This window comes from Homo sapiens, chromosome 5 (genome assembly GCF_000001405.40).
Source record: "Homo sapiens chromosome 5, GRCh38.p14 Primary Assembly".
Lineage (NCBI taxonomy): Eukaryota > Metazoa > Chordata > Mammalia > Primates > Hominidae > Homo > Homo sapiens.
In genome coordinates this window covers 120,745,177-120,764,201 of record NC_000005.10, presented here as the reverse complement: position 1 = coordinate 120,764,201, position 19,025 = coordinate 120,745,177, and the positions used below count along the sequence as shown (strand labels likewise).

At 32.4% G+C, this 19,025-nt stretch overlaps 1 protein-coding gene across 2 annotated transcripts in view, besides 2 other annotated features; it reads right to left on the bottom strand.

Moving 5' to 3' along the window:
• PRR16 (proline rich 16) overlaps positions 1-19,025 on the bottom strand; it is a 330,317-nt gene that overhangs the window by 30,393 nt on the left and 280,899 nt on the right. The window lies entirely within an intron of this gene.
• Positions 1,662-2,162: an enhancer, noted in NCBI's record as "H3K27ac-H3K4me1 hESC enhancer chr5:120097735-120098235 (GRCh37/hg19 assembly coordinates)". NCBI's record gives its function as "activates a minimal SCP1, AML or CMV promoter by ChIP-STARR-seq in primed H9 embryonic stem cells {active_cell/tissue: H9 hESC(primed)}" and the evidence as "EXISTENCE:reporter gene assay evidence [ECO:0000049][PMID:30033119]".
• Positions 2,163-2,663: an enhancer, noted in NCBI's record as "H3K27ac-H3K4me1 hESC enhancer chr5:120097234-120097734 (GRCh37/hg19 assembly coordinates)". NCBI's record gives its function as "activates a minimal SCP1, AML or CMV promoter by ChIP-STARR-seq in primed H9 embryonic stem cells {active_cell/tissue: H9 hESC(primed)}" and the evidence as "EXISTENCE:reporter gene assay evidence [ECO:0000049][PMID:30033119]".

The following is a 19,025-nucleotide window of genomic DNA, read 5'->3' as shown; positions in this document are numbered from 1 at the left end:
ATGATACACCCACAGAAAACACCACACTGAAAAGGGAAAGCTGAAAGCTTTTCCTCTAAGAACTAAAACAAGACAAATATGTCTTCTTTCACCACTACTACTCAACATAGTAATGGAAGTCCCAGCCAGAGCAATCAGACAAGAGAAAGAAATAAAAGTTCTCTAAACTTATAAACGTGAAGCCAAACTGACCCTCTTTACATTTAGAGGATCCTCTTACATTTAGACGATCCTACAGATTCCACCAAAAATCTCTGAGACCTGATAAGCAAATTCAGTAAAGTCTCAGGATACAAAATCAATATAAACAATCAGTAGCATATCTGTATATTAATAATAAACTAGCTGAAAAAGAAACGAAGAACCCAATTCTATTTATAATAGTTACAAAAATAAATAAATAAAACACCTAGGAATAAATTTAACCAAGAAAGTGAAACACCTCTACAAGTAAACTTACAAAAAACTGATGAAAGAAATTGAAGAAGACATGAACAAAGAGAAAGAAATCCCATGCTCATGGATTGGAAGAATTAATATTGTTAAAACGACCATACTATTCAAAGCAATCTAAAGATTAAGTATAATTTTTATCAAAATACCAACATTATTTTTCATAGAAATAAAACAATTCTAAAATTAATATGGAACCAAAAGAAAGCTCAAACAGTCAAAGCAATCCTGAGCAAAAAGGACAAAACTGTAAGTATCACATTACCTTACCTTGGAAAATATGTCCAAGGTTATAGTAATAAAAACATTATTGCAGGCCAGGCGTGGTGGCTCACACCTATAAGCCCAGCACTTTGGGAGTCCAAGGCAGGCTGATCACTTGAGGTCAGCCTGGCCAACATGGCGAAACCTCATCTCTACTAAAAATACAAAAAAAAGAGCCAGACGTGGTGGATTATGCACCTGTAATCCCACTTACTTGGGAGGCTGAGGCAGAATTGCTTGAACCGGGGAGGCAGAGGTTGCAGTGAGCCGATATCATGCCACTGAACTCCAGCCTGGGTGACAGAGTGAGACACTGCCTCAAAAAAAAAAATTGCTATTAAAATGGACACATAGACAAAAGGAACAGAATAAACAATCCAGAAACAAATCCACATATTTACAGCCAACTGATTTTTGTAAAAGGTGCCGAGTATGCCACAGACACATATTGGGGAAAGTACATTATCTTTAGTACATGAGGCTGGGAAAACTGGATATTCATATGCAGAAAAATGACACTAGACCCATCTTACCACACACAAAAATCAACTCAAAGTGAATGAAAGACTTAAACCTAAGATCTCAAGTTACAATGTTAGTAGAAGAAAACAGAAAAATAACGACATTCGTATTGGCAAAAATATTATGGCTAAGACCTCAAAAGCACAGATAACAAAAACAGAAATAGACTAATGAAAGTATTTTAAATTAAATGCCTCTGCACAACAAAGGAAACAGTCAACAAAGAGACAACCTGTTGAGTGGGAGAAAATACTTGCAAAGTATTCATCTGACAAGGAACAATATCTAGAACACACAAGGTACTCAAGCAATTCAACCAGGAGAAAACAATGCCCTTAAAAAGTGGGCAAAGAACCTGTATAGACATTTCTCAAAAGGAGACATACAAATGGCCAAGATTGCTTGAGCCCAGGAGAGCGGCCTGAGCAACATAGGGAGATTTCATTTCTAAAAAACAAAACAAAACAAAAAACAACATTAGTCAACATATTTAATCATCAGGGAAATGCAAAAATGCAAATCAAAACTACAACAATCACAATAATATATTATCTTACCCTACTTAGAAAAGGTGTTGTCAAAAATAGATGCTGGCAAGGATGCAGAGAAAAAAGAACTCTTACATACTACTGTTAGGAATGTAAATTAATACAATTATTATGAAAAACAGTATGGAGATTTCTTTAAAAACTAAAAATAGAACTACCATGAAAATTTGCATCTCCACTGCTGGATATTTATCCAAGGAAAGGAAATTAACATATCAAAGTGATACTTGCCCTCCACCATGCTTATTAAAACACTATAGCAGTAGCCAAAGATACATGCAATCAGCCTAACTGTCCATCAACGAATGAATGAAAAGAAAATGTGGTATGTATAAACAGTGGAATAATAGCCATAAAAAAGACTGAAATTCTGTCACTTTCAGTAACATGCATGAAAACTGGAAGTCATTATGTAAAATTAGCCAAGCACAGTAAGATGAACATTGCATATTTTCGCTCATATATGGGAGGTAAAAATGTTGATCTCATGGAGGTAGAGAATAGAATGATAATTATCAAAGGCTGGGAAAGGTATGTTTTTGGGGGGAGGTAAATGAAGAGAGGTTGGTAAATGGGTACAAACATACAGTTAGACAGAACGAATAAATTCCAATGTTCAATAGCAGAGTAGGGTGAGTATTGTTAACAACAATATATTGTGTATTTTAAAATAGCTAGAAGAGAGGATTTGAAATGTTCCCAACACATAGAAATGATAATGTATATCTTTAATACCCTGTCTTGATCATTACACATTCTAGGCATATAACAAAATATTACATGTACCACATTAGTATGTACAAATATTATGTACTGATAAAAAAAGATAAATCTAAACAAAATATACCTTGATTTTAAAATAAACTTTTGATTTATGTATAATTTTGCAACCTCTAACTAGTAGATCTAAACACTTATGCATGATTGCTAATACCACGAACAAAAGAGAATCGGGCATTTCCGTTATGTTCCTCTTTATAGATATAGTCTTTGAGATATAGTCTAGGGGTAGTTTTGCCAAGGGGAAAAAAAATCAAATCCTTATCTGGGCAAGATTCTACCTCCAAACACCATTAACAAAAAATGATCCTGTTATAAACTACACCTTGGGGATGTAATCAGCAAAGTTCAGGCCATGAGAAATGTATGAGTTAAACAATCCAGTTTCCTCAAAAAATAAACTAGAAGAAATACAGAAGATATGGAGGGAACCATGCATAGAGATTAATTAAAATAGGCTTAAAATACATATGAAGCAATAGATACAGGAGGGCCTTGAGTCTTGATTTTTAATATAAAATAATGTATAATAAAATAATAAATTTTATATGTATAAGACAATTAGAAATGTTAACACTTAATATTTTATCCCATTAAGAAATTATCATTAATTTCTTTAGAAAATGTGACCTGGTTTGGTCTCCCTCCAAAACAGATTCTGAAACAAGAACTGTAGGACAAGCAACTTGTTTGGGAGGTAATCTCAGGATACAAATAGAGAAGTGAGGAAGCAAGGCAAGGAAAGGAAGGGATTCCATACAAGATGCACTATCCATCAGGTTTTCATTGTGCTACCGGAGCTCAATCCTGCTGTAATGTATATCAAACTTCAGAGGTATTTTAACTGAGGGAGGCAAGCTGGGGAATTTATCCACTAAATTCCTATTTGATATTGGTCGAAGGTTGCTCCCTGGGGCCTTAACTCTCCAGCCCTTGCAGCTTATTCTACACAAAGGTCTAATGTGATCCTGTGGTCAGGAAAAATGAAAGTATTTATTAGGTAAAGTCTCAGGTAATTAAGCAACATGCTTTGGCTTTAGAGGTAAATGCTAAGGGGATATGAAAGAAGCACCAGGCTCAGTCCTGTAGTACCTTAAAGATGTAGTGGTGATGGTGAATAAAACAAGGGGTTTCTTGTTTTAGATATAACTACCAAAATTTTATAAATAAAATATGATACCTGGAATATGCTTTAAACTAATATGAGGGGGAGGGAGAAGATGCAAGTATAGATGAGACAGGTTTGGTCAGTAGTTAAAAATGGCTTAAGAGGGTATGGGTATATTGTATAATTCTATTTTCATATATATTTGAAACATTATTTCTATATGTCACCATATTTATATAAATTAATTTAAACATGAATTCTTACTGATATGCCCAACTTTTATCCATTACAACATGGCTCATTCTACCATCCTCCTCTTACTAATCTGTACATTTACTGCAACAGTGAGAAATATGGCTCCAATCATCCACCATTCATTTGCTTAATTATTCAATTCAATTATACATGTGTAGTAATATCAAAATTAACTTACACCCTGTTAAGAAACAACTTTATCAACAAGTACGCATATTTAGGTCTTTTTGCTTTTAGACTTAGAGACTCTAGTCCTATACAAAATGACTTAGATTAGCACCTTTTACACACACCCCCTTCAGAGAGCAATATTATTTCATACATTGTTATTAGAGTTAGGTTCTGTTGTCATATTATGCATTCCTTTTGGGATCCCCCAACCTTCTAAATGATTTTCAAGAAACAACTTTAACAACAAGTGTATTTATGCAGTTCTTTTTGTCTTTAGACTTCAAGACTCTAAATCCTATCCAAAATTACTTAGGTCAGCACCTTTTACACACACCCACTTCAAAGAGATTGTTTCATATTTAATTTAGATTCTGTTATTATGAATTCCTTTGTGATCTCCAAAACTTTTAACTGATTTTTTAATTTGTATACACTAAGGTTCACTCTTTGTACTATAAAGTTTTATGAGTTTTGACAAATACATAATGTTACAAGTCCACCATTACAATATCATAAAATTTAATTACTCTTTCTAAAGACAAAATCTTGTGCTTCATATATTCAACCCTCTATGCCTCCTCCTGAGCCCATGGAAGCCACTTATATTTTTACTGTATCTATATTTTCTGCTTTTTCATATAATGTTATATAATTAGAATCATATAGTATATAGTCTTTTTTAGACTTAAGAGTTCTTTATATGTTTTGGATACAAATCTCTATAAGATAAATGTTTTGGTAAGATTTTAATATAGCACTAAAATTATTGGGGTGATATGAATTGTAATGTATATCATAAGGGAAATTTTAAGAAATAATGGTATAGGCTGGGTGTGGTGGCTCACGCCTGTAATCCCAGCACTTTGGGAGGCCGAAGCGGGCAGATCATGAGGTCAGGAGATCAATACCATCCTGGCTAACACGGTGAAACCCTGTCTCTACTAAAAATACAAAAAATTAGCCAGGCATGGTGGCGGGTGCCTGTAGTCCCAGCTACTTGGGAGGCTGAGGCAGGAGGATGGTGTGAACCTGGGAGGCAGAGCTTGCAGTGAGCTGAGATTGTGCCACTGCACTCCAGCCTGGGTGACAGAAGCAAGACTCCGTCTCAAAAAAAAAAAAAAAAAAAGAAATTATGGTACAAAAATCAATGTACAACTCTTCAATAACTGCAATTTCTATTTGTATCAGCAAGAATGTTCAAAAGGAAATATGCTCAAAATAAAAAATATGACAAAGTTATATAACTGATAGACAAATATATTTTTTAGACTAATGTATTAGTTTGTTTTCATAGTACTATAAAGAAATACCTGAGACTGGGTAATTTATAAACAAAGGAGGTTTATTGACTCACAGTTCTGCATGGCTGGGGAGGTCTCAGGACAGTTACACCAACAGGAGGCCAAGGGGAAGCAAGGCACGTCTTACATGGCAGCAGGAGAGAGAGAGTGCAGGAGAAACTGCCACTTTTAAACCATCAGATCTTGTGAGAACTCCCTCACTGTCATAAGAACAGCATGGAGAAAACTTCCTCCATAATCCAGTCACCTCCTAGCAGATCCCCCCTTCAATATGCGGGGATTACAATTCTACATGAGATTTGGGTGGGGACACAAAGCGAAACCATATTAACTAAGTAAAAACAAAGCTTTCATTTTTCTCATGCTCTACAACAGAATGAAAATAACTTTCCAATTTCTTGAAGAGATCATATATAAAAGCTGATAACATCTAAATGAAATTCAAGAGCTGATGCATATGGGGCCTATGATACAGAGCCCAGCAACAATAAGTCTTGAGAAGTATTTGCTATTATTACTTTCACTTATTATGAAAATCAGTACTCATCTAAAAATACTACATTTGAGAATACAAAAAATTTGCGTAACATATTTCATAATAAATATAAACTATTTCCATTATTTTTGCATCAAATTTGATTCCAAATAAGTTACTGACCTAAATGCATAATTACAAATACCTACAGTGAAAAAATAGTTAATAATGTTAATAAAGTTTTAACAATAAAGTTACAAGAATAATAGAGTAACATGTTAATGAAGTCTTGACAATAAAATTACAAAAGTAGCCATATTAAAAATAGTTTTACATTCTAAATTTACATGTAATTACTCACTCCTTATTTATCTCATAAATCATAGGTTAATGATAATTTTTTACTCCAATGCATTTGTCAAAATCTTCATAGAATGGTTATGAATATGAAAACTATAGTTCCATTTTTCTATTTAAATCGAGGCTAGCAATATCACCTTCATTTTGAGTATATCAGTCACTACAATTTCTCAAAATAAAAGCAGTAAGAGATTTATATTTGCCATTAGTTACACATCGCCAATTCACCAAACCTATGATCTCAATTCATCTGGTATTATCTATAATTATTACTTTATTATTTAAAATTAAATGAAGAATATCATGATTCTGTGTTTAGAAATATTTGTGTCAAGGAGTATTTATAATCATATAATAACGACAAAATAAATTTAAATTATTTTCTTGATTTCAAACACCACATTATTTTTCTTTTACTATATAGCAAAAGAAAAAGAAAGCCAGTAGATCAAATTTTCACCCAGAAAACACTGCTGAAAGAACTCACAGATGAGACAAATGGAGAAACATTCCATACTCATGGAATGGAAGAATCACTATCATTAAAATGGCCATAATGCCCAAAGCAATCTACAGAGTCAACGCGATTACTGTCAAACTACCAATGTTATTATTCACAGAACTAGAAAAACTATCCAAAAATTCATATGGAACCAAAAAAGAACCTGCATAGCCAAAGAAATTCTATACCAAAAGAACGAAGCCAGAGGCATCATGTTACCCAACTTCAAACTGTACTATAAGGCTACAGTAACCAAAACATCATGGTAGTGGTACAAAAGCAGACAAATAGACCAAGAAGAGAATAAAGAACCCAAAAATAAGGCCACAAACCCACAGCCATCTGATCTTCAACAAAGTTAACAAAAATAAGCAATAAAGAAAGTACTCCCTGTTCAATAAATTGTGCTGGTATAGCTGGATGTCCATAGGCAGAAGAATAAAACTGGACCCCCTACCTACGTGTCCCCATATACAAAAACTAAATTAACTAAATTAACTAAAGAAGGATTAAATAATTAAATGTAACACCTTAAACTATAAACTTTAGGTTTCCCCAAGAAAACCTAAAGAATACCATTCTGGATATTGTCCTTGGGAAAGAATTTATACTAAGTTCTAAAAAGCAACTGCAACAAAAACAAAAATTGACAAGTAGGACCTAATTAAACTAAAGAGCTTCTGCACAGCAAAAGAAACTATCAATGCAGTCAACACACAACCTATACAGAATGGGAGAAAATATTTGGAAACTATGAACCCAACAAAGGTCTAATATAAAAAGTTCTATTCATAAGGAACTTAAACAATTAAGCAAAAGTCAATCCCATTTAAAAAAATGGGCAAAAGACATGAACAGACACTTCTCAAAAGACATACAGGCAACCAATAAACATGAAAAAAAATGCTCCACATTACTAATTATCAGAGAAATGCAAATCCAAAACATAGTGAGATACCATCTCATACCAGTCAGAATGGCTATTAAAAAGTCAACAAATGGCCGATGCTGGTGAGGCCGCAGAGAAAAGGAAATGCTTACATACTTCTGGTAGAAATGTAAATTTGTTCAACCACTTTGGAAGGCAGTTTGGAGGTCTGGAGGAAGGGAACCTAAGGCCAATTCACACCAACTTCCTACAACTAAATCAAAAGGAAAATTCCAACTTCCCATGCTCAAGTAACAAAAGGATCAGAGGGTACTCCCTTTGCAAGCCCCTCCCCACTTCTGTGCAGATGAAAAATGGAAAGTACCTCTGATTGGTCCCCTACTGCAAACAATCAGACTGGTTGCAGGCCAAGTCTTCATGTGTAACTTTGTAACTTCACTTCATTCTCTGATTGGTTCCCTCAGGCAACCAATCAGACATTTACATAAAGTGTAACTTTGTAACTTCATTTCAGCCTCTGACTGGTCACCTTCCACAACCAATCAGACTAGTTGCAGGTCATTCCTTCATTTACATAGGGTGTAAACTAAGTAACCAATGGGAAACCACTAGAGGGTATTTAAACCCCAGAAAATTCTGTAACCAGAGCTTGAGCCACTTGCTTGAGCCCCCTCCCACTCTGGAGTACACTTTTCTTTCAGTAAATCTGTGCTTTCATTGCTTTATTCTTTTGTTGCTTTTTTGTGCATTTTCTCCGATTCTTTGTTTAAAACAACAAGAACCTGGACTACTCATAGTCAAGAGTCACCACCAGTAACACTATTACTGGGTATGTATCCAAAAGAAATAAATAATTCTACCAGAAAGGCATGTGTACTCATAGTTCATCACAGCATTATTCACAATAACAAAAGACATAAAATCAACCTAGGTGGTCCTCGACAGTGGACTGGATAAAGAAAATATGGTACATATACACCACAGAATACTATGCAGCCATAAAAATGGATGAAATCATATTATTTGCAGTAACATGGACACAGCTAGAGATCATTATCCTAAGTGAACTAACACAGGCATAGAAAATCAAATACTGCATGTTCTCACATAATTCGGAGCTAAACAACAGGCACTCATGGACATAAAGATAGCAACAATAGACTCTGGAGACTGATGGGAGGAAGGAATGAAAAAGATAAGGGTTGAAAAACTAGGTATTGGATACTATGCCCAGTACCTGCCTGACAGGGTCAATCATACTTCAAACCACAGCATCTTGCAATATATCCACATAAGAGGCCAAACATGCATCCCTTGAATCTAAAATAAAAGTTGAAATTATTATTTTTTATTTTTTTTAGATTTTTTTTAAATTTTATTATTATTATACTCTAAGTTTTAGGGTACATGTGCACAACGTGCAGGTTTGTTACATATGTATCCATGTGCCATGTTGGTGTGCTGCACCCATTAACTCGTCATTAAGCATTAGGTATATCTCCTAATGTTACCCTCCCCCCTCCCAAAATGACAAAAGAAAGAAGTGAAAAAAACTTAGTCACATAATACAGCTGAAAAATGATCAACCCTAGGTTTCAACACAAGCATTTTCTCCTCTCTGGTTTGTACACTCTATGATATTCTATTCCCAATTTTCTATAGCATTATCAAGTAAAATATTTTCACTCTCCTTATACCTCATGGTTTCTGACTATTGAACTACGAGGTTTTGATCCATATCTTTTGACCTTGCTCTTAATTTTTAATTTACCAATGGTATAGAGTTAGCAATAAAGAAAAGTAAAGATGTTATCAATATCATATTCATCTGCTGAGGAAGACAACTTTTTACAATTTTGCTTATGTTTTAGTTATATCAGGAAGAAAACAATATTTCTAAAAATATTCTGCTTAATATATAATATATAAATACTTTATATATTATATATAAATATATAATAATATATAACGATATATATTATATATAATATATAAAATATAAATATATTATATAATATATATTATATATAATTACATATAATTATATAATATATAATATATAATATACATAATAAAATACATACTATATATTATATAATATATACTATATACTATATATTATATAATATATACTATATACTATATATTATATAATATATAGTATATAGTATAATATATAACATATAATATATATGTTATATATTATATATTTATATACATCATATAACATATATTTATATATAACATATAATATTTATATGTTATATATTATATATTATATATTATATATTTATATATTATTTTATATTTATATTTTTATATTATAATATCTAATTATATATTATATTATATATTATAATATATAATTTATAATATATAATTATATATTATATATTTATATTTATATTTATATATCATATTTATATATTATATATTAAGCGGAATATTTTTAGAAATATTCTATTTTCTTCCTGATATAACTAAAACATAAGCAAAATTGTAAAAAGTTGTCTTCCTCAGCAGATGAATACGATACTGATAAATCTTTACTTTTATATATTATATAATATATATATTATATATGTTATATATTATATTATATAACATATATTATATATAATATATAACATATATTATATATAATATTTATATACATTTATAGAGATTTATAAATATATATTATATATAATATATAAATATATAATATATAAGATATTATATATAATATATAAGTTATATATATTATATATAAATATATAATAAAACTCAAGGGATGTTAGAGTACATATAATTACATAACTGAAGAACTTTTTTATTCAAATTTGAATAATGATATTATATATCTCATATGGCAGTTGTAAGAATTGAACAAGGCAATGTATGTGAAAGAATCTGGCACAGTGATTGGCATATAGTAAGAACTAAAATGTTTCTTATACCTAATTCATCACTATCATCACCATCACCATTGTCACCATTCTCACACTGATCTGAATTCTGAAGCAAGTGTAATTTTAATAAAAAATAAACACACAGATATAGATCACTCACCATTCTTTACTCATCAAGTTTCTAAGACTCCATTATTTAACTAAAAATTTCTAAATTTATTCAAGCAAAACTCATGGCTTCTGACTTGTCTCAACAAATGGGGACATTTCTTTTTGTTCTTGGCTCAGTTACGTACCTGTTCTTCCTCTTACTTGAATGGTAACTTATTATTTGCAGCATGCAAAAGACGTTTTAACCTCCTGTGGTCTTATTTCCAACCCTATTTCTGTGCTGAAATTATACTTTCACAAATGAGTGACTGATTGTCAGATTCAAAGGCCATTTCTTATTCGCTCCGCTCCTGGGCTTCTTTAGACCATTTAATTCATTTGACTTGTATTTTCCTTAAATTTCTTTGGTTTACTTCCCTCCAAATCTACTTTGTACACCAGATTGACCTTTTACAAATGCTCACTCATTGCTCTGCTAACTCCTCTGCTCAAAACCAAAGTCATATCATTCCTCTGCTCACAACAATTAATGTTTCCTCATCTATTCGTGGAAAAATAAAAAATCCTTAGTGTGACATTTGACATCAATAATATTATCCTAATTTATCTTTATATAACTTTTTAATGAAAGAGATGAAAAAGTCTTACATTGTTGTCTGATCTATTTCACCAGCATTTTGCCCATTCTGTACCTGAGAAAATATATTATATACATTATTGAAACTTCAACTTTCATTTTTTCATTTTCCATCTACTGCTTTCCACTGACTAAGCTAAATAACTATCTCGTAATGAGTATTTTCCCTACTTGAGCTAAATTGATTTATAAACCTACGAAGAAATAGAAACTTATAACCAAATATCATTCTTTAAACTTCTGAGCTAGATATAAAAGAAATAATATATTTATGACTTTTTATCCTGTTACACAATCTAGGAATATAGAAGTTAATAATTGTTGGTCTCACATAATGGTATCATTTCACATAGGAAATTTTTAAGGAAAATCTTATTTTCCCTTTTCTTTTGGGTCTCACTAAGTCAGTTTGGTCTAAGCACAAATAAGCCTAATCAGTGCATAGATAAACAGCAAGATGAGAAAATGTCTCTCATGTACAAATGTTAGGCCCCTTACTGTCCCTCCTCACCTTCAAAAAAACAATAAACAGGTTATGAAGCCAGGTTTCTCTGTTATTGTGTATTATTTCCCCGCTTTCCTCAGGCCCGCATTATCTCCACTGTTATCTATTCTGTAACCCATCATGGATGCCAAGGTCTCGTCTGGAATTAATGTATTTATAGCTTATTTCACATGGGTCTTCTCTTGTCTAATGGTCAAAGAAGTTGAAAATATATTTCCCTGGAGTAGGCAGTGATTCATAAAAAATGACCAATTTTCTATTTGGAATTCAGTTTTTTTAGCAAGTCTTCCTATAGTAACAAACTCCTAAATGATGTATAACTGTGTATGACTGTAATAACCAGGACAATGTAATATAATTAATATTAATTTATTTAGAGGTGTTTCAAGAACTACATTAAGATACCACAAGCTTCTTCAGAAAAAGTCAGTTCCTCTTGACAATGAACAATTTTAAAGATAAAGTGGAAATCTTTGAACTATCTAAATAAAGAAGTTACTGGAGTTTAATATCACATAATTCTGAGGAGGCAAACTTAAATGAATATTCCAGAAGTACACTGAAAACATAAATACATAAAGGCCTACCTGTGAGCCTGTGTTAATGGAGAACACTAAAGTACTTCCACCCACCCCCTACAAAGATGTCCTGATAGTGAAATGAGATTAGTATTTCCATATGATTGGTTCATTTTCATCCACCTGTTCTTTCAAAAAATGTTGTCATAAACTTATAAGGTCAGAAAGAAAGCATGTTCATATTTGAAGTAATTCAAATAAAAATATTTTACTTATTATATTTCTTTTGTGGATCCTGAGAGGTAAGTTCTCTGAAAATACACCATTATGAAAAGGAATTTAAACTGTAAAGCTAAAATTAAAAAAAAATGCCCAATATCACTAATCATCAGAGAAATACAAGTCAAAACCACAATGAGATATGGTCTCACTGCAGTTAAAGTGGCTTTTATCACAAAGATCAAAAAATAGGGAGTGCTGGTGAGGAGGCAGAGAAAGAGGAATGCTCTTGATACATGTTGATTGGAATATGCAAATTATTATAGTCACCATGGAAAACAGTATGGAGCTGTCTCAAAAAAACTAAACATAGAATTACCATATAATCCAGCAATACTTTTGCTAGGTGTATCTCCAGAAGAAAATAAATCAGTATGTACACCCATATTTATTGAAGCACTCTTCACAATAGCCAAAATATGAAATTACCTAAGTGCCCATCGATCAATGAATGAATACGGAAAAGTGGTTCATATACAGTGGAATACTACTCAGCCATAAAAATGACATTAATGAACTCTCATCATTTCAGCAAGATGGATGGAACTGGAGGACATTATGTCAGGTGAAAGAAGCAAGTCACAGAAAGACAAATATCACATGATCTCCTTCATATATGGAAGCTAAAAAAATGATCTCATGGAGACAGAGAATAGAATGATGGTTACCAGTGGCTGGAAAATGTGGTAGGGAGTAGGGGATAAATAGGGGTTGGATGAAGGAATAAGTTCTAATGTTTAGCAACACAATACTGTGACCACAGTTAACAATGATTTACTGTGTATTTTAAAATAACTAGAGAAGTGGACTTAGAATATTCCCAACACCATAAAAAATGATAAATGTTTGAAGTGGTGAATATCTCGATTACCCAGATTTGATCATTATACATTGAATTCTTATATCAAAATAACACATGTGCCTCATAAATATGCACATATGTATGTATCCATAATTTTTTTTTTTGAGATGGAGTCTCACTCTGTCACTCAGGGTGGAGTGCAGTGGCGAGATCTCAGCTCACTGCAACCTCCGCCTCCCATGTCCAAGCGATTCTCCTGCCTCAGCCTCCTCAGTAACTGGGATTACAGGTATGCGCCACCACACTGGGCTAATTTTTGTTTTGTTTTTTTTTTAGTAGAGACAGGATTTCACCATGTTGATCAGGCTGGTCTCGAACTCCTGACCTCAGGTGATCCACCTGCCTCGGCCTCCCAAAGTGCTGGGATTACAGGTGTGAGCCACCGCGCCTGACTCTGAAAAACTTTTTAAATAAAATGAAGTGTTATCCAATATGTTGACGGGGTAAAAGTATTGGTTGACTTGAATCTTATGGAGTTTTTAATTGGCTTGTATCATATCAGGATGAATCAATAATTTACCTATTAGGCTCTTATATTAATTTTGAAAAAAATCAAATGACTGAGGCTGAATATATTTTTTCAAGAAGCTCTTTTACCAGTCAGTTAACAGCTTATTTGTTGTAAACTCCCACAAAAATATTACACTCAACTAAACCATACTGCTGAATGTTTTGCTACGTAAAGGTACCCAATTTTTCACAACAAAATAAATGAAAAAATTTTAGAGAATGACTCATGTTGATTCATATGTATTTTTTTCTGGCTTCAAACATATTCTAATCTTCATTATACCATGGGGGTAAGGAGAGGTGGTTAGACAAATAAATTGTTACATGATCTTTTCTAAACAAAGAGTCTCTATAAATCTACAGAAGAAAGTTTGATTTGAAATTCGATATTAGAACATTTCAACATGAAAATACTCTTTGGTTCTTTTGTACCATTCATTTCTCAAGACACAGACTATTCAAACGAGAATATCCATGTGCATATTCCTTTCTGTAAACACTGTTTGTTGCTATTATACAGAATTCTTTCTATTTACTCTTGCTCTTTGAAAATAAAATTTCATAGCTTAACATAAATAACTAGGTTTTGGTATTAATTATTTTGCATTATGGATGAAATCAGTGATAATCTTAGCAGCTCTCAATGCAAAGAGATTGAAAATGCCTATTGAGAATAGCACATAGCATGACAGTCTAAAATAAATACTCTCATTGAACTGAAAATGTGTAACTGACAGTACATTGTTATGAATAGCAACACTTGGAAAACAAAATATTAAAAGACTTACATTTGACTTTTCTATAATAATTTATAACTATTCTATAAACATACTCAAGCTCAGGTAGCAACAACAATTTTGCCCATGGATGGATAAAAAATAATTTATGTGACATAATTATTCAAACTCCTAACATAACAATTTTGTCTTACTTGATATAATTTCAAGTTAAATTTTGTGCTTCTAAAATTTGAATGCTCAATTTAATCCTGCACATTTTTTATGTTATAGAGAACTAAGAATGTTTATGATGATGATATAAAATATATCATAAAATTTTCAAATCATACCTTTATTTTTCTAGTGTTTTCTATGAAAATGAGTTTAACGTTGCTTTAGTTTTAATTTATAGATATATGCATTATATGTTTTCAAAGAAAATTTTCATTACATGTTATCTATAATTAAATCTTACTATTTGACATATGGTAAGGCCTTGACATACTACTGCCACTTGGAGGTGGCATATAAAACAGAAATATCTAGAATTTTTTTCAGCAGGAGTAAAATTGTTTAAAGTGTACAATTATAAAATCAAATGTAAGAAATTGCTAACAACAAAATATCACTCTGATTCCATTTGTATCTTTTCCCTTAAATAAAAGTAAATTTTCATTCTGACGTTTCTAGATTGCTGCACGCTCTCATAGTCCCTGGGTCTTCTCTCCCTTACTGTCTGTCCACAATGAGCCTTCTTTCAGTTCCTTTAATTCTTCATGCATGCTCTTTTCTCCCTCAAGGATTTATGACATCTCATTTATCTATCTGCCTGACATGTTACCTATTAAATGAATGCCATTTCAATCCTCTGAGTTTAGCTCAAATGTCATTTTCTTCTATAAGTTTTCCCAGATTTCAACCTTGGATAATGTCTCCCAAATGTTTCATAAGACCTTGTATTCTTTTCTCATAGACTTATTAAAATTTTAGATTAAATAATTATGTCTTTGATTAATGCCTGTTTTTTTCACTATTCCATATTTTCCACATTGAAAGATACTTTTTTTAAGCTATTAAAGTCCCCAAATATACTACACACATATAAAATGTCAGGTGAATGAATGAATTTATGAAAGAATAAGTTATACATGCAAAAAAATGGTGTAAGGAAAATATGTGATATTTCAGCATTAGTTTGTCAAAAGTAAAGCAAATATGTTTTAGAAGAGAATTACTATTTGTCTGAAAGAGATAGATATTAACAAATCTTGTCTATTTAAAAATCATCAACCTCACTACAGTCTGAACATGTCATGAAACCATGTAATTTAAAAATAGGTGCAAAGAAGCAACTTAGTTTCCTATTTCAGTATTTTGCTCTCTCAAGGCAATATTAATAATCATTATTAAAAATCCCATCTATCCTGGAAATTTAATCATTCAATAATATATTGTCAGAGGGACTCCCAAATAGAGATCTGATAGTGCACGGATCATTCACATTTTTAAATTGTTGGATAATATATAGAGAAATATATGGCAGCAACGATTCGTAAATGACATACTTTCATATAATTATAAAAAGAAGTAATTCTAAAATGTGGGGAATCGATTGCACAAAATGTAGATTTTCTAATTTTTTGGAACTAAGAGTACGCATAATTGTTTTTTTTACATAAAGTCTAGTAATCTAAGGAAAACATAAATTACAAATATCAGGAACTGTTTGACAAACTAAATGACTTTCTTTCTTTCCTTCTTTTTCTCCTTCCTTCCTTCCTTCATCTTTCTCTTCCTTCCTTAAATTGTTTTCTATAAACAGATTAAAAGCCTAGGCTCTAAAAAGCGCCTTATTCTACATGTACCTCTTGCTTTTGACTAAGCAATGCCTGTCACTTTAATATTAGATTATGTATCTGCAGGCATTCATTGTGGGTACAGAATGCCAAGGGTAGCTTTCTTAGTTAACACACAATGTTGCTCCTTTTTCACAGTAATATCTACCACTGGCCATCTTACAACACCTTGAGAATCATTGATATGATTGGTTCTACTGGAGACTGAAGCATTTTCTAAAGGATGAAGCTTTCTACATCAGATGCAATCTAATTGAAAATGCAGCTCACACATTTACGGAAGTTTGGTTAATGGCATTGGTTCTTAGAGGAGTAAAAGTTGGTGTGCTTAATTTACATATCAAATTAACTAAAAAGGTAAAAAATAAAACTTGAATGTATGAAGCATGCCTAGGTAAATTGGCTAGTAGGTCAGTTAATCAACTGTTAAACGTAAATCTCCTCAGCTGTCCCCTTAGCCCCACACATGCAGCCAGTCTCTAAGCATAAATCTGTATGTCCTTTGGGGTCTTGTATGAAAAAATATGTTTGGGGTTTTCAATCACAATTAACTTTGAATGCTTTTTCTTCACAGTAAGTTTCAGGTAAACCTAAAGGTGAACTTTCTCTTCAACAGCGAATAACGAAATGAATCTCTTGGCAACTCTGATGAAGTAAATTACTTCAAATGGAGCTGACTTTAAATTAATATTTTAATTTTTTCACTTAAATTGAAACGAAAGCTTGCTTTTTATTCCTTCGAAGAAAGATGATTTTATCCAATAACTATGTTGGACAATAGTTTAAGTCAAAATAATTTCTCCTGTGACTCCCGATGAAGAGAACATAATTTGTTTTCATTTGTTCTCAAATTGTGGTCCAGTTAAGCCAGTATTCCCTCGCCTCCCTTCCTGAAAATGAGTATTCCTCCTGATTGGTTTTCCGTTACAATGTTTCTCAACTCTGGCTCTACATTAAAGACCTCCAGGAGCTTTTGAAAAAAAAATACCACTGTCAGAGTGGCACCCAGACAAATTGAAAACAAATTTCTGGAGCTAGGACCTGGGCAGCTATTGTTTTTAAAACTTCCCAAGCAATTCTCATACACAGTGAAGGTTGCAGACTACTAATCCAGTGTTTCATGTGAAAGAAATTCGTAAAAGATAAACACTGATAAATTATGGAAAAATATTGACAAAATTGGGAAGGATGTAGTTTTAGTTCCGAGTTGGCTCAAGAAGTCTTACTAAGATACACTTCACTAAAAAAAAAAATCTCTGAGTTCCTCTTGTAACTCCAAATTTCTTACTTTTTTAAAGACTTAAGGGTACATTTCAGAAAATCAATTATAACTTCAGAAGAAAGTTGTTTCCCAAATCAAAATCACACTTAACTGGAACAATAACAGGACTAGGAGCATATCTCATTTCCCTCAGTATCATTAGCTTTATGCCAAATTCAATCACAGTTCTGGTCACCTGGGCCACGGAGATAACATTCAGCAACATGTTTCAGTGTCAATCATTGTATGGAAATGATCCGAAGGAACAAAAATGTAATATAATTAAATAGAAAAAAAAAAGCTTTTAGAAAAAATTGAACAAATCTAAATACAAGCCTCTAAAGATGACAGAATTATGCCAAATCTCAAAATTTCACCGCTTCCAAACTAAAATTATGAATGCAAAGGCTAAAGGCCACACGTGGTGGTTCACACCTGTAATCCCAGCATTTTGGGGGGCAAAGATGGGTGAATCACTTGAGGTCAGGAGATCAAGACAGTTTCACAGCCTGGCTAACATGGTGAAACCCTTGTCTCTGCTAAAAAAAAAAAAAAAAAATTACCCGGGCGTGGTGGCGGGTGCCTGTAATCCCAGCTACTCCAGAGGCTGAGGCAGGAGAATCACTTGAACACGGGAGGAGGAGGTTGTAGTGAGCTGAGATCGCCCCACTGCACTCCAGCCTTGGTGACAGAGTGAGACTCTATCTCAAAAATTAAAAATAAATAAATAAATAAATAATAAAATAAATACAAGGCTAAAACAAAACAAAACAAAACAAAGCAACAAACACAACCCTCCACTAATACACTGGAGGCCATAAAATCAAAATCTGATACCCAGAGAAAGACAGTATTTGTTGTTGTTGTTGTTTTTGTTTTAATATTCCACAAACCCTGAATGCTTCACGCAATTCCTAACAGTCCAATCAGAAGCAGAGGGAGATAAAGGTGATTCTAAGACATCCTGAAAAAATCTGCTAAAAATCCATGGATGGAAAGAGCATAATGAGAAAGAGTGGATGCTGCTTAAAGAGAACAAACTTCCAAAACACCTCAGAAAAAGGAAAATGGTTGATCTTAATGATTTTGGTTTTCTGGATGGGAGTAAAGCAGAGAGAAAAAGCAGAAACATTTCAAACACTCAGAAGCAAGATCCCATGCATAAACAATAATTTCATCAAACAAATATAGAGAAGAATAAAAAAAGAGATTTCTGGGGTAGTAAGAAGCAAAAGAATATGTAAAATA